Source organism: Homo sapiens, chromosome 8 (assembly GCF_000001405.40).
Source record: "Homo sapiens chromosome 8, GRCh38.p14 Primary Assembly".
NCBI lineage: Eukaryota > Metazoa > Chordata > Mammalia > Primates > Hominidae > Homo > Homo sapiens.
This window is the reverse complement of record NC_000008.11, coordinates 25,449,045-25,464,332: the sequence shown is the minus strand read 5'-3', so window position 1 is coordinate 25,464,332 and position 15,288 is coordinate 25,449,045. Positions and strand designations below refer to the sequence as shown.

Sequence of the window (15,288 nt, the reverse complement as noted above, 5' to 3'; positions counted from 1 at the left end):
ACGATCCTCCAACTTCAGCCTCTCAAATAGCTTGGACTACAGGCATGTGCCACCACACCCAGATAATTTTTAAAATTTTTCTGTAGAGATGGAGTTTTGTCATGTTGCCCAGGCTGGTCTCAAACTCCTGGCTTCGAACGATCCTCCCTCCTTTGCTTCTCAAAGTTCTGGGATTACAGTGTGAGCCACCATACCCAGCCAGGGAAATTACCGTTTAGAGTGAAATTCTGAAAACATATAAACGTAGTTACAGGTAAAAGAGGTGCTATTGAGAAGAAATATCAGGAATGTGGCTGAGTCCCTAAAAGTGCTGGCTTAGCTAGAATCAGGACAGACCTCTATCTTTAGTAAAATCTGAGTTGAAGCCAAAACAATGAGAAAGAGGTCTAAGGGAAGATGTCACAGGAGGGAGGTACTCTCCAAGAACAAGGGCCAAGGCCTTGAGTGGAAACAGGATGGGGCAGAAAAGCCAGTGTGCCCTGTGAGTGGAAGGAGATGGGGAGAGACTAGAGTGGGCGTACGAAGGCATCAGGAAGGGGTGTAGGTTTAATTCAAGGGATCGCAGGAAGCCATGGGAAGATTCTGAGCAGCCGGGTGAATGATTCGATTTCTACTTTAAATGAATGCCTCTCCTTGACTGCTCTGTGGGATAGCCAATGGATTAGGGAGAACGTAGGAGGCTGCTGCCAGCACAACACACGTACAACATTAAGGTCCTTTTTTTTTTTAATCAGTAGAAGGAGTACACTTTAAATTCATGATACAAAGTCTATAGTAAATGTATAAACCAGGAACAGTCATTCATTATGACTATCAAGTATTATGTATTGTAGGTAACCTTTTGTGCTAGATTTTAATACAAGTGGCAGCACCGTAGAACTGTTTGCACCAGCCTCACCACAAATGCATGAGCAATGCATTGTTTTATGATGTTATATGAGCTACATCACCAGGCCTTAGAAATTTTTCGGCTCCATTATTATGAGACCACCATTGTATATTTAGTCCATCACTGAACAAAATGTCATTATGTAGCACAAGACTGTATCTGACTTTTTAGGGGGATGTATAAAAATTTGAAAAAACAGCTAAATATATCCCCATCAGCAGATAAATAATCTACTCCTCTCCACAAGGTTGTCCCAAATACATTTTGTCCAGGAGACCCTTGCCCCTATACATCAACACACAGTAGTCATGAAAAAATCAGTAACTTAGAGATAAGCTCTTAAAAAGGTAGTAGTGCCTCACCTCATAGAAAAGTAGATCTTAACTAGAAAAAAAAATTGAGAAATAAAATAAAAAGCTCCTCTAGAAAGCTATTTCTATCCAGGGTCTCATAACTCTAAAAATACCCTCGTTTGGGTTGAGCACTGTGGCACACACCTGTAACCCCAGCACTTTGATAGGGATTGCTTAGGGTCAGGAGTTCAAAATAAGCCTGGGCAACATAGTGAGGCCCCATCTCTACAAAAAAAAATTTTTATAATTAGCCCATTGCTGTGGCACATGCCTATAGTTCCAGCTACTTGGAAAGCTAAGGTGGGAGGATTCCTTGAGCCCAGGAGTTCATTGCTGCGGTGGGCTATGATTGCACCAGTGCATTCCAGCCTGGGCAACTGAGATCCTGTCTCTAAAACAAAGCAAACAAAGAAAAATCACCCATGGTCAACATCATCATTTAGGCTAACTGCATTTTTTTTTTTTTTGAGACAGTCTCACTCTGTCGCCCAGACTGGAACATAGTGGCATGATCTTGACTCAATGCAACCTCTGCCTCCCAGGTTCAAGCAATTCTCGTGCCTCAGCCTCCAAGTAGCTGGAATTTCGGGAACCTGCCACCACACCCAGCTAATTTTCGTATTTTTAGTAGAGATGGGGTTTCACCATGTTGGCCAGGCTGGTCTCGAACTCCTGACCTCAAATGATCTGCCTGCCTCAGCCTCCCAGAGTACTGGGATTATAGGCGTGAGCCACCGCGCCCGGCCGCTAACTGCATGTTCTCTAAAACACAGAGAAAATCTCCCTCCAGATTTGAAACAGAGCAGATGCACTAGAAGGTGTAAAGAAAGCACAAAAGCTTCATTAACGGAATTCACGACAGAACTTAGAAGAAAATCATACCTGGGAAGGAGAATCTTGTGCCAAAGGAGATTTCCTAGCATTCTTTATATTTTGCTGCCGAGCAATGAAACGAATCAGATGGTTTGTTTCAGGAGAGCCCCGAGCACCGACTGCAGAACGTCGTCTACATTTTTTAAGGTAGGATGATGACTTTCCTGTAATGAAACTCTCTTATAAATTGGAACAAAACAAGGCAATCATCAGTAACCACATCCAATACTCGTGATGTACCAGCCTGAGAGAGAAAACATGATAAACATGTGCTACAAAAAACTCAGTGGAGAGTTACTGGCACAGTCATTCATATACAATCAGTGGAAGAGGAATCTTTTTGTCTGCTGACTTAGTCTATGCTCCTAGAACAGTGCCTGGTACATAGAACAGTTATTAAAAGTTGTTGAATAAATACATGAACACATTTTAAGTTTTCATTTTTGTTTCTTATTTCCTACACACAGATGGCTTTTGCTTTTGACTCAGTATTTTTCTTTTTCTAAATAAGTCAGTTTTATCCCCAGCAACTGAAAGGTAAGATCTCCACCTAGGTACATGCAGTCTCAGGTTCTTAATTCTTCAAGATGATTGTTTCTTTCTGATACCTACCATCAGCACTACCCTGAATTTTGGACATATGCCTAAGCACACAAAATGAATCCAGCCTTTTAAAGGTCTAAGAGTGATGTTTTTGAGAATGAAAGTTAGGGTGGCGTGCCACTTTCGCCTTGTCTTATGTATTACCTGGTCTAGTGCCCTGTGATATTCAAGACTTCCATTATCCTCCAATTCTAAATGCTATTCTCTGATCCAATTCCATTCTCATATAGTATTTCCTTCTTTTCCATCTAAGTCAGACTTCACAAGTAAACTTCATTTCTACTGCTCGAAGGACATTAGCCAGAATCAATCTTCTGTTTGTGTTTTTTTTTTTTTTTTTTTTTTTGGAGACAGAGTTTCACTCTTGTTGCCCAGGCTGGAATGCAATGGTGCGATTTCGACTCACGGTAACCTCTGCCTCCCAGGTTCAAGCGATTCTCCTGCCTCAAACTCCTGAGTAGCTGGGATTACAGGCATGCACCACCATGCCCGGCTAATTTTGTATTTTTAGTAGAGACGAGGTTTCTCTATGTTGGTCAGGCTGGTCTCGAACTCCTGACCTCCGGTGATCTGCCTGCCTCGGCCTCCCAAAGCGCTGGGATTACGGGCTTGAGCCACTGAGCCCAACCCTGTTTGTGATTGTTAAAGGAGGTACATCCTGCTCTTTCAGTATTATATTTTCTTAATTGCTCTTAAACTTTCTCTTATTTTTGCCATAAATGAAAACAAAATGCATTATTACTATTCATATCATACACCCTCCTGTATCCTAGGTGACAGGTCAAAAAGTGACTCACACACACATTATTTTCTAGTATTGGCATCAAGCACGACTCTGACTTGGGAACATTATCATGCTGGGTGCCCTGCGATTCCGTGATCCCTGCTATGCTAAATGAACTGTGCATGTGCAAAGAAGTCTCTCTGAAGAAGCAAGTTTGCAGAGTAGGCAATTTAGGTACCTAAAATATGACAGTACGTATAAACAAATAAAGCTGAGTTATATTAAAGTTATTTTTAAACTTGAAAAGCATTACAACAGAATGACAACTTTTCTTACCTGCAGAGTTCCTAACAAAGCTTTCAGGTGTAATTCCCAATTGCTCTACGGTTACTGTGGAAAAGTTCAAAGGTGATTTAAAAGTATCTGGTGTGCAAGGATTAGGAGGTAATTCGGCATGCTTCTGAGGAGTCACAATCTTCCCAGTTCCCAAAATGAAAGAGGCATTTCCTGAAACGGACGACATATTGTAGGGGTGAGGACAACTCTCTGTCTAAACCTTCAACTTCACAAGGAGGCAGATCATCACATACCAGCATTATTCATTGCAGACTCCTTGGTTTCAGGGGGCTTGTCTTTTGAATTGGCATCCATCTAAGAGGTGAAGAAAAACAATGAAAAATAACCCCACCAGCAAGATGAACGTGATTCGATCACGTACCTTATTCAGGACTGAATTGTAATACAGTCCATACTGGCATAGAAACACACGTCACAGGTTTCATTTTTTATTTTAATTTCTGTGGGTATACAGTAGATGTATAATTTATGGGGTACATGAAATATTTTGATACAGGCATGCAATTCGTAATAATCAAATCAAAGTAAATGAGGTAGCCATTATCTCAAATATTTATCCTTTTTGTTATAAACAATCCAATTATACTTCGTTATGTTTAAATGCACAATTAAATTATGGACCGCCACCCTGTTGTGCTAGCAAATACTAGATCTTATTCATTCTTTGTTTTTCTACCTATTAACCATCTCCACTTCCTTCCCATCCATCCCCAATACACTTCCCACCCTGTGCTAACCATTCTTTTACTCTAAGCGCGTACTTTTAAAGCCAAATTAAACAGAAAGAAATGGAGAAAACTGCTGTTCAGGCACCAAAGCAGACCCCAAAGGATAAGCCATGGCTTTTCAACCGTAGCGAAAACCTGAATCATAAGGGTACCCCTCTCAAGACGCAGCTCTATCCATTTCCAGAAATTCTCTCAACAGGTCCGGATGCACTCCTGGTCACCCAGAGCAGCTCCTGACAGGAGTACTAATTCTGTGCTGCAGGGTAAGCCGAACAAAGTGCCTAGAAATGCCCCGGAGAAACAGCCCCGTGGCAGCGCGGATGCAATCCTACCTCTCACGCCGCACCTGAAGGCCCGCCAGGCAGACAGGCTTACTCCCAGAGCCCCGTGGCAGGCGAGCGTCGCGTCGGCCGCTCCTTCCAGACCCCGGCTCCTCTGTCCGGAAGGGCTCTCCTGGCAAAGCACCCGCAGCCGGGAGCCGCTCTTCGAACCCGGAGCCCGAGGTCCCGACGGCTGACCTGGACTCACAGCCTGCGCTGATCCTGGCCTGCGCTCTGCCCGGCAGCCTCCTCCACCCGCCTCCTCCGCCCGCCGACCGATTCAAATCCCCGACCCCGCCCCTCGGTACCGAATTTACTCTACGAATCACTCCGCCACCTCCCCCTTCTCCAGTCCGCGCACACTCCGAGCGCTCCCAGGCCTCTCCCTCGGCACTGGAGTGGCTTCCTGGGCTCGGAGAGGGACCACCGCGAGCTGCAGTCAACCCGAGGACTACAGACACCTGCCACTGCCTTGTGACCTCGGGGACTACTTTTCAGGAGAGTCTCGCGGAGTAACGCTTCTCTTAGCGCTTTAACTCCGCCTCCCACCTTTCTATTGGATGCTGCAAACTTCGAAAAGACTCATTCAACCAATCCTAACAGAGCGACGAGCTGGCTCTTACCCAATCAGTCCGTCCCTACCGCAGCCGTTTCCTAGCTGGGCCGGCTTGTGGGCGGGGCTAACGCTGGAGGAGGGGCTGACTGGTGCTTGGGTCCCTTTCAGCGCTCCACCTCCTTTCCCCAGACCCCGCCCTCGTATGCAGATAAGCGCTACCTAAACTAGAGGGTGCGCCTGCTCAGTAACGCTGGAAGCCGCCGTCCGGCTCCAGGAGCCTCTCTGATTGGCTGATGCCCCTTCCCGTCTACTAGCCTTCAGCGTCTCTTCCCTCCCTCCGTCCCGGCTAGGTTAGCCAGAGCCCGCCCGATACTGGGTGCTGATTGGCTGGACTCTGTCCGGTGACGCGGGTTGGTTGGTACGGCAGAGTGTCAGTCTCGGAGAGGTGGGGGAAGGGCCCCAGGCAGGCTGAGGAGCCTAGGGGCGGGGTGGGAAGGAGGACCGGCCGAACCTTGGGTGTGGGACAGAGTGCGTGCGTGTGGTGTGTCCCCAAGGGCAGGAAGGTGGCGAAGGGAGGCGAATCCGAGTGGGTGGAGGGAGGGGAAGGGCGGGAGGAGAAAAAGGTGGGAGGAGGACCAGGTGGGAGGGTGGCGGCTCACTCAGGACCCAGCGGGGGCAGCGCGATGAGGCGGGTGACCCTGTTCCTGAACGGCAGCCCCAAGAACGGAAAGGTAACGGGGGCGTGAGGGGGCGCGGCGGGCCGGGGGTCGGGGCGAGGGCGGACGGTGCGGAACCGGCTGGCGGGGCAGCGGTGAAGTTGGGTAGAGGGGCTGGGAGGTGGGCGTGCGCGGGCTGGGGGCGCTCGGGGACAGCACAGGGTCCCCGCGGCCTCCTCCCGACCCTCAGGACCCCCGTGCCCGAGCCTGCCCTTCAGTGCCTCAGCTGCCTGGGGGCCGGCGCGGTTCGGCCCGGGGGCTCCGGGTCTCCCGGATGCTTGGTGCGGGGGGCGCGGGGACGGGGGCGCGGGGAGGGCCGCGGTCACCTGGGCGCCCGGGCGGTCGCGCCTCTTCCCGCCTCTCCCCGAGACCCCGCTCCCGCCTGCGGGAGGAGGCGCGCCGGCTCCGGTGCTGAGTAATGATCTGCTCGGAAAGTGGCGGCGAGCACCAGAGCCTGTGGAGATGGGTCAGGGAGACAGAAGTAAACTGCCCGTGGATAAACAAAATCTCCCATCCGAGGTCGCAGACAGGATTTTTAAAATGGGGGCATTTTCTTGTTGATTTTTGCCCTCCTCTCTGAGATGCCTCAAGCCCCCACGCCCCGCCGCCGCCAAACTTCTCTGTACTCTTTTTATTATTTTGCCTTATTTTGATTCCCTAGAGGACGGGTACAGCAGACCCAAAAGGGATCGATTTGACAGTCGCCTTTGCTGTGTTAGGCCTTTGCGGAGAGTGTGGTGCTCAGTGTTCTTCCAGCGCTGGAGCAAGCCAAAACGAATTCTCTTCCTTCCCAGCCTTTTGCCCCACCCATGAAAGTTGTTCTGCTCCTTTGGGAAATTTTCACTGTTCGAGGCAGACATTTATTGCGTTGCTAAATGATACCTAGAAGTAACTCAGCCTTTACGAGTCTAAGGTAAAGGTAAATGGGTCTCGCTGTGTTGGTTGCCAAAATACTCTGCTGCCTGCACATTCGGGGAACACTGTAAATTTTTAAATAGTGAAATTGTCCAGTGGCATTAAAAATGGCTTTCCGATTATTCAGTGTAGAGTAAACATGCTCCGAAAATTCGAACCAGAGTGTGGTTTGTTGGCTATAATTTTATGTTCTTTTGGTCTTAGAGATTTAATACTCATTTAAAATCAGAATTCGTATAAATTCGAGTTCTTGAGTTATCATGAATGCTACCCCGAAAATATGTTCACGAAGTTTACATTTCTCATCACTATTAACTTTTTCTAAACCTGTTCTGTACTTAGCTACTACCTGTTATCTAAAACGTATGTTGTTACTCTAAGAAAGATTTAGTATGTTCAAAATTGGTAATATTTCTCAAAAACAAACTTCTGGTTGACCTTTTTAATGCAGTATCTCTGCTATGTTACTCATGGAAGACAAATATTTAAACCTAGTCATAAATATTTTTGCTCTAAATCTCTCCCAAATCCACTCAATTTGGTTGTCAAAAATTAACTGAGTTGGTCTTTCCATATTGTTGTTCACACGGATTTTTTTTTTAAGCTATCTAGTTTTGACTAGATTAGATTCTTGGATTTAAATTTTATTTACTTTAAAAATATTCTGCTAGAGAATCTCAGAAGATTGGGGAAAATGCATCTCAAATAATTAAATATAAATATGTTTATGTTACAACGTAAAAATCCAAACTGGAGAGTACTAGATAAAAAGAAGCAAAGCCATGATCTTCACTGCTCAGCTGATGAACATATTCTAAGACGTTGGCAGTGTTTTCTCTCCCTTCAGTTGATTAAAAAAATTTATAATTATTCTTATTTGACAAAAGAGCTGCATAATACATAACAGCTTGCATTTTTATATATAAAGTGACTAATTGGATTGGCATGATCATGACATGAATGTTCATTAAGAATAAGCTGGGAAAAGTGCTACTCAAATAGAATAGAATTTGATTTCCCATCCACCAGTTGGAATATCTGTACCACTTACTTTATCTCCCTTACCTCGCTTCTGCTTTTGTTTCCTGGTTATAAGAATAATCTCTGTTTTTTCAAGTAAGTTTCCCTCTCATAGCTTGTTTAGTAGTTACCAGACTGTGAGACTATGAAGCCTGGGGAAGGGCGTGGAGAGGCACAGAATTCTTCCAAGGTGCTGTGTTATATGCTCGCCAGGAATTGTCTGTGTATTGAATGAATGTAACTAGTGGTGGACGTATTTGACGTTGGAGAGAGGGCTATGCATTCTCTAAACTGTGGTTTCTGGAGTGAGATGACACACCACAGACAGTGTCCAAGACGATTTATTGGAGGTCAGGAAGAAATATACCTTTTGTTTATATCTTACACTTAAAAATATAAAATAATGTGAAAACTTGATTTTTCCGATCTAGAAAGACACAGGTGCCTCCAGTCACTGAACATTCAGCTGGTCTCAGGTCTCCTGTAAGAAGGGACGGCCTTCACATGTGAAAAGGTTAATAGTGTCTTCTTCACAGATTGGTTGTCATTGACATTGTGATATGGAAGCTTACAACCGGCACATTAAGATTTATATCTAGTTTTAACCAAATTAACCCTCACCAAAATGCCAAGTGATCTTAAAGGATTACTTCAAAGAAACTGCAGCTTGAGACAATATTAATTATGCAAGCACAAGTAAACAATGAGGAAATGGCAGAAGCTGCCACTTCTCCTAGTATGTATAAACCATGAGACTAAAAAAAGAGTGGGTCTCTTTGGACCTGAGAAGTTGAAACAGTGCTGAGTTTTAAAGAAGAATATTTGAAGTCCTATTTATTAATTGCTATTAATAATCAGCCTCTCCCTAAGTGTATGTTATTCTTTGAAATATTAGCCATTGATAGGATGAGTCATCCTAGTTAGCAAGATATTTAGAAATAAGTTCTAGTGCATGAAGACAAATGGCTTCAGATTTTTTTCTTTTCTGATTTTTTGGTTTTTGTTTGTTTTTTACTTTTATTTATTTATTTATTATTTATTATTATTATTTTTTGAGACGGAGTTTTGCTCTTCCACCCAGGCTGGAGTGAAGTGGCGTGATCTCAGCTCACTGCAACCTCTGCCCCCCAGGTTCAAGCGATTCTCCTAACTCAGCCTCTTGCTTAGCTGGGATTACAGGGGCTTGCCACCATGCCCTGCTAATTTTTGTATTTTTAGTAGAGACGGTTTTCACCATGTTGGCCAGGCTGATCCTGAACTCTTGACCTCATGTGATCCACCTGCCTTGGCTTCCCAAAGTGCTAGGATTACAGGCGTGAGCCACCATGCCCGGCTTATTTTAATGTTTAAAGTCAATCCTGTATTTGGCAGAATTTCACTAAATTTAATGATAAATATTTAGGAGATTCTTAGTGGCTAATTCATAGTCTGAGTCACTGAAAGTCCTCATCATTTGGGAAAACATGTACTTTCTAACAGTGGAATGTAGTTCATAAATACATAAATATACAGATGTTTGAGTACATGCCCAAAAGTATGTTACCAATGGGGTGTGTGGTCAGAAACATTTGAAGGCCTTAGTTCTAATCACTGGAATCTTTGGTTTAAATTTTGAGGGTTTTTTTTGTTTTTGTTTTTTAAAACTGCTCCGAAAGAGTCAGTTATGTTGTTTGTACCTGTCATCCTTTTTCCATGTGCCTCAACATTTTCGTTATTCTTTTTAATATTCCCTGTAAGAGTTGGCATTAAGGAAATTGAAATGGGGACTTGCACATCTGCATGCAGTGTGTGGCTTCTGAGCAACTTAATGTCAGTGCAGAGTTTCTATACGTCTTGAACACAGAGTGCTTTTTTTACTTCAGAATATTCAATAATGAGCTGTGCAAGTCCTAGGCCTTTTGTATACTGATTAATTCATCATTCATTCATTCATTCATTCAGTGAACACTTAGTAAATGCCTTCTGAGTATGTGGCATCATGCCAAACATGGCAAACAGGGTAGGAAATACTTTCATTCTGTACCGTGTTTTCATTCTTGGTCCAAGAAATAACTTTTCTTCAGGTTTTGGTATTAGGTCAGAAACATGTTGGGGGCAGGCACAATGGCTCATGCCTGTAATCCCAGCACTTTGAGAGGCTGAGATGGGAGGATTGCTTGAGTTCAGGAGTTCAAGACCAGCCTGGGCAACATAGTGAGATCCCATCTCTAAAACAACAACAACAACAAAGAATGAAAAAGAAATATGTTGTTAGTAGTAAGTATCCAGGTTTGAATCCATTACGTTGTTAGAGTTGGAGAAAGGTGAAAATTTATCTGAACCTCTGCCTCTGAAGGCTAAACATTAATAAGAACCTAGTGAGGGCCCACTTTTTAAGCTTGAACATTTCTTAATATATTTGATACATAGAAAAGAATACAATAAAGAATATACATAAAAAGAGGAACATAATATAGCAAACATCTGTAAATCTGCCAGATAACCCAAGAAGTAGCATGTTATCAATAACATAATGTGTTTATCCACGTTCCTGTACTCCTGTTTTGTTTTTCTCTTTGCCGTGTGTTTTTAAATAGTTTTGTCACATATATATGCATAACTAAATTACCTTTTTTTTTTTTTTTTGAGTCGGAGTCTCACTCTGTCGCCCAGGTTGGAGTGCAGTGGCATGATCTCTGGCTCAATACAACCTCCGCCTCCCGGGTTCAAGCAATTCTCCTGCCTCAGCCTCCCAAGTAGGTGGGATTACAGGCGCCCGCCACCATACCTGGCTATTTTTGTGTTTTTAGTAGAGACAGGGTTTCACCATATTGGCCAGGCTGGTCTCAAACTCCTGACTTCGTGATCCGCCAGCCTCAGCCTCCCAAAGTGCTGGAATTACAGGCTTGAGCCACCGTGCCCGGCCCTCACCTTTTTTTTTTTGAGACAGAGTCTCGCACTGTCACCCAGGCTAGAGTGCAGTGGCGCGATCTTGGCTCACTGCAACCTCTGCCTCCTGGGTTCAAGCGATTCTCCTGCCTCAGCCTCCTGAGTAGCTGGAATTACAGGCACGTGCCACCACTCCCAGCTAATTTTTGTATTTTTAGTAGAGATGGGGTTTCACCATGTTGGTCAGGCTGGTCTCGGCTGACCTCCTGATCTGCCCGCCTCAGCCGCCCAAAGTACTGGGATTACAGGCGTGAGCCACTCTGCCTAGCCACTAAGTTACATTTTTAAAAAATCAGCTTCGGGACATACGGTATCTCAAATTGATATTATACTGTATATAGTTTTTTGTGGAGACAATGTCTTCCTATATTGCCCAGACTGGTCTCAAACTCCTGGCCTCAAGCAGTCCTCCTTCCTCAGTCTCCCAAGGTGCTGCGACTACAGGCATGAGCCATCATGCCAGGCCAGTCCTTGCTTTTTTCGTTCAATATAATTCTCTTCCAACCATAATATCTGACATAGTGATAATTTATTCATTTTTACTGCTTTATTAAAGTACATGTTATACAAATACTACCATGATATTCCTGTCAGTGGACATTAGGTTGTTTATTTTCTTTATATTTTGTTGTTAAATTGACAGTGCTGTCATGAATATTTCTGTATATGTATCCTGGCACACAGCAGCAAGCATTTTTCTAGGGAGGTAGTTAATCAAACTTTAGCATGCATCAGAGTCACTTGGAGGAGGAGGAGGACTTGAGAAAACTGCTGGACTTCATCCCCAAAGATTAATATTCAGTAGGTCTGGGGTGGGGTAGGAATGTACATTTTTAATTTGCAGGTGAAATGTGGTTCAGATGCTGCAGGTGACAGGATCACACATTTGAGAACCACCACTCTAAGGTATAGACACATAGTTGTAATTATTGGGTGTTAGAATATGTAAATATTCAGTTTTGCAAAATAATGCCAGATTGTTTTTCAAAGTCATTGCAGTAATTTATATTCCCACCACCATTGCATAAATCTTCCCTATTGGTCCACATCCACTCCAACACTTGATATTACCAGTATTTTCCATTTTAAAATTTTCTTTTTTCACCTTAGAGTTAATTATCTCATCTTTTTTTTAAATTATCTCATCTTTTAAAGAATAAGATCATGTAAATATTTAAAATGTATTTGACTAAAAGTATAGGTAGAGAAAATTGAGTTCTGTATTTAGTTACTAGTGGTGATTAGTGGTTTTGTTGGGTAAATCAGCCTGCATAAATTCAACAATTTATGTGTATTGTATATTACATAATGCACAATAAATACTTGTGTATTTATCATAACAACTTTTTGCAAATTAATTTTTTTATTGGACCTTTAGGATCCAGGCAGACAGCCAGATTAGAAAATATTTAGTGATATGGTAAATTGTTTTTGATACTTTATTAGGATTGATTAAAGTGGCAATAAAAGTTGAATTCAAATACACAAATACTTGTGTATTTATTGTGTATTATGTAATAAATCTTGTGGGTATAAAAGAAAAAAATATTTTACATGCATGTGCAGGTTTTAATTTTTAAATTTAAATAATACAGGTTACAATTTGAAAATGGTGTTTAAAGGTAAATTAAAACTAGCCAATCGTACTAGGCATGGTGTTCCATTTACTCTCCAACTCATAGGCAGCTTTCACTTGTCATGGGATCTGAAATTTAAAAATAATTGACTCTGAAAAGTAGTATAATACAGACATCATGAACTTTAATAGACATGCTTCTCAATAAATGTAAAATGCTTCTATTCTTAGGGCCTAAGTTGTTAAGGTAGATAATCCCAGTGACATGGAAACATCAGGCCACATGGTGGAGATAACACATACAAAGTAAATGACCTTTGTAAGCACTATCATTTTATGATTTATTTGGCTCAGTATGAGGACAAAAACAATCTTAGTATATACTAACTGGAGCTTATGTCCATGATATACAAGATTTTTATTGCTCCTCTTTCTCAAAAGAGTTATATAAAGAAGAATGCATGTGCCAGTCTGTTTGCAACTTTCTCCGTAACTTAATCATCTTTTCCATATGTATGACAAATTTATGTTGATATATATATTTTAAAACCTGGTTTCTAATTAGTTTAAAATACAGAGTTTTTGCATATTTGAATATTAGTATTGCAACATAACTCCTTTTTATTTGTATGGTATTGTTAGTATGTGCGAATGATTAGTTGGAAAACAAACGTCAAGAATAGCCCTCCAAGTGAAAACAAGTATATTGGCCCAACTTAAGGGAAATTTTCAAATTTCTAGAACTATAAGATTCTTCGTATTAATTTTAATTCTGTTTTCTCTAATTGACCACCCTTTGGTTATTTCACTTAAAGGAAATTGTTAACTGCCTGATTGCAAACTGCTAAAATAATTTTATTTATAGAACTAGTATCTGGAGCTATGGAGACCTTAAAATAAATTAAAACTTCCCCCCTTATTACAAAAGTAATATAGGTTCATTGTAACAAATTTGGAAAACAAACAAAATAAAGCAAAAAACTTAGCAGGGTGTGGTGGCTCATGCCTGTAATCCCAGCACTTGGGAGGCTGAGGCGGTTGGATCACGAGGTCAAGAGATTGACACCCTCCTGGCCAACATGGTGAAACCCCGTCTCTACTAAAAATACAAAAATTAGCTGGGCGTGGTGGCACGGTTTTACCATGTTGGCCAGGCTGGTCTTGAACTCCTGACCTCAGGTGATCCACCCACCTTGGCCTCCCAAAAAGTGCCGGCATTACAGGCTTGAGCCACCATGCCCAGACTGCTTTAGAATTGCATTTATACTGTGTATTTTTTTACCCTAATGACAGTGTAAGAGACTTAAATGAATATGACTGTCACACAAAAAAGGTGTGTCCTACTTCAACACTCAACATTCAAGAAATATTTGTCAAAGACCTGCTGTAAGCCAGGTAATGTACCATTTGAACCTATGGCGGTTATTAGTAGAACAGCTCAGGAATGTACTTCTTTAGTGCTGCTTATCAGCTTTACCAAGGGATAATTGGTCACCTCTATTCACAGAATTCATAACAACTTTTTGCAAATTAATTTTTTTTATTGGACCTTTAGGATCCAGGCAGACAGCCAGATTAGAAAATATTTAGTGATACGGTAAATTGTTTTTGATACCTTATTAGGATTGATTTAAGTGGCAATAAAAGTTGAATTCAATTTATACCTAGACTGTGCTCCTTAGTAGTTTTACAGCCTACAAGGAAATACCTGTTGTACTTTGATTGCCTTGAAAATAGTCCTTGCCAAGCAGTATGTGTGGTTTTTTTCTATCATCTGGTCACATTTGACTTCAGTGGGGAAGAAACAGAAGATGGCAACATCCCAACCCTCTAAATAAAACAACAAACAGGTCTTGAGTTGTATTTCATCAGTTTGTTACTTTGGGTTCCTATGTCATGGGAAAGCCTAATAGAATTAAAATAGTTGTGTTTTTTTTTCTTCATTTTTTTTTTTCTGCTCTTTAAAATGGCACTGTCTAATAGAACTACTGAGATGATGGAAATTTGTGCTATTCAATATGGTAACAATTAGCCAGTGTGGCAGTTGAGCACTTGAAATGTGGCTAGTGTGACTGAACTGCATTTTAACTTTTAATTTTAATAGATTAAAATTTAAATAGACTCATGAAGCTAGTGGCTTCCACACTGGACAGCACAGCTTTAAAACATGGCAGGTGGCCTTTATTTTCATCGGAAGACAATAGACCCACAGAAAAACCAAGTCAATCATATGGAAGTAGACGACAATTCAAGTTAGTGTATTTTGAATAAGTCATATAAGATCTTAAGCTATAATATTACATTAAGTATTAAGCATAATACAGGCAGGTGCATTCAACTTGCATCTATTTTTTGGTATGGCCAAGAGAGAACAGTGAAAGAGATGCTGAGAGAGAAAGTTGATGTTAGGGCAAGGAGGGGATATCAGGCAAAAGAAAGCCATACTGAGATGTAAGAGCCAGAGGTAAATAAGAGGGAAAAGAAAGATTTAGAAAATTCTTTGTATGATGGCAACTATGCCAAGAACATTGAATTGGGAAAGAGGTGCTTGTGCTTCTTACCCTCTTTTCACAGCACCTTCTGACTGCAGGAGTTGTTTTGCATCTGCTTTGGTCAATCTCTTGCTCCTTTGCATGTTTGCTTCTCTCTTCTCTGTCTTTACTCTCTTCATGCTCTTTGCCTTAACACAACCCCAGCTTTGCCGTGTGCAATGCCCTAGGTACTGTATTT

At 42.1% G+C, this 15,288-nt stretch overlaps 2 protein-coding genes and 1 long non-coding RNA gene across 9 annotated transcripts in view, besides 4 other annotated features; 2 read left to right on the top strand and 1 right to left on the bottom strand.

The window, feature by feature from the left end:
• Window positions 1–5,402, bottom strand: part of CDCA2 (cell division cycle associated 2) — a 48,987-nt gene extending 43,585 nt beyond the window's left edge. Inside the window, exons 1-4 of one of the 3 annotated variants that reach the window (NM_001317907.1) lie at window positions 4,860–5,402; window positions 4,033–4,093; window positions 3,779–3,949; window positions 2,125–2,279 (exon numbers count right to left, since the gene is read on the bottom strand). In NM_001317907.1, coding sequence (NP_001304836.1) covers window positions 2,125–2,279; window positions 3,779–3,949; window positions 4,033–4,093 — 387 coding nt within the window. In that variant the 5' untranslated portion in view covers window positions 4,860–5,402. Of the gene's footprint in view, window positions 1–2,124; window positions 2,280–3,778; window positions 4,094–4,859 lie in introns of all 3 variants that reach the window. The other 2 variants (NM_152562.4, NM_001317906.1) reach the window with 2 other exon arrangements.
• Window positions 5,202–5,431: an enhancer, noted in NCBI's record as "active region_27125". NCBI's record gives its function as "activates an Ori minimal core promoter by ATAC-STARR-seq in GM12878 lymphoblastoid cells {active_cell/tissue: GM12878}" and the evidence as "EXISTENCE:reporter gene assay evidence [ECO:0000049][PMID:35858748]".
• Window positions 5,572–5,781: a silencer, noted in NCBI's record as "silent region_19036". NCBI's record gives its function as "represses an Ori minimal core promoter by ATAC-STARR-seq in GM12878 lymphoblastoid cells {active_cell/tissue: GM12878}" and the evidence as "EXISTENCE:reporter gene assay evidence [ECO:0000049][PMID:35858748]".
• KCTD9 (potassium channel tetramerization domain containing 9) overlaps window positions 5,900–15,288 on the top strand; it is a 30,587-nt gene continuing 21,198 nt past the window's right edge. For 4 of the 5 annotated variants that reach the window (XM_047421912.1, XM_047421913.1, NM_017634.4 and 1 more), the window contains exon 1: window positions 5,900–6,134. Coding sequence is in view for 2 of the 5 variants with exons in the window: in NM_017634.4 (NP_060104.2) it covers window positions 6,087–6,134 (48 nt within the window). In the remaining 3 variants the exon portion in view is untranslated. Of the gene's footprint in view, window positions 6,135–6,790; window positions 7,033–15,288 lie in introns of those variants that run through there. The other variant, XM_047421914.1, reaches the window with a different exon arrangement.
• Window positions 6,142–6,191: a silencer, noted in NCBI's record as "silent region_19035". NCBI's record gives its function as "represses an Ori minimal core promoter by ATAC-STARR-seq in GM12878 lymphoblastoid cells {active_cell/tissue: GM12878}" and the evidence as "EXISTENCE:reporter gene assay evidence [ECO:0000049][PMID:35858748]".
• Window positions 6,802–6,851: an enhancer, noted in NCBI's record as "active region_27124". NCBI's record gives its function as "activates an Ori minimal core promoter by ATAC-STARR-seq in GM12878 lymphoblastoid cells {active_cell/tissue: GM12878}" and the evidence as "EXISTENCE:reporter gene assay evidence [ECO:0000049][PMID:35858748]".
• Window positions 10,758–14,810, top strand: LOC124901913 (uncharacterized). The gene is made up of 3 exons (XR_007060862.1): window positions 10,758–10,789; window positions 13,852–13,953; window positions 14,663–14,810. It is a non-coding gene; the product is annotated as an uncharacterized LOC124901913 (long non-coding RNA).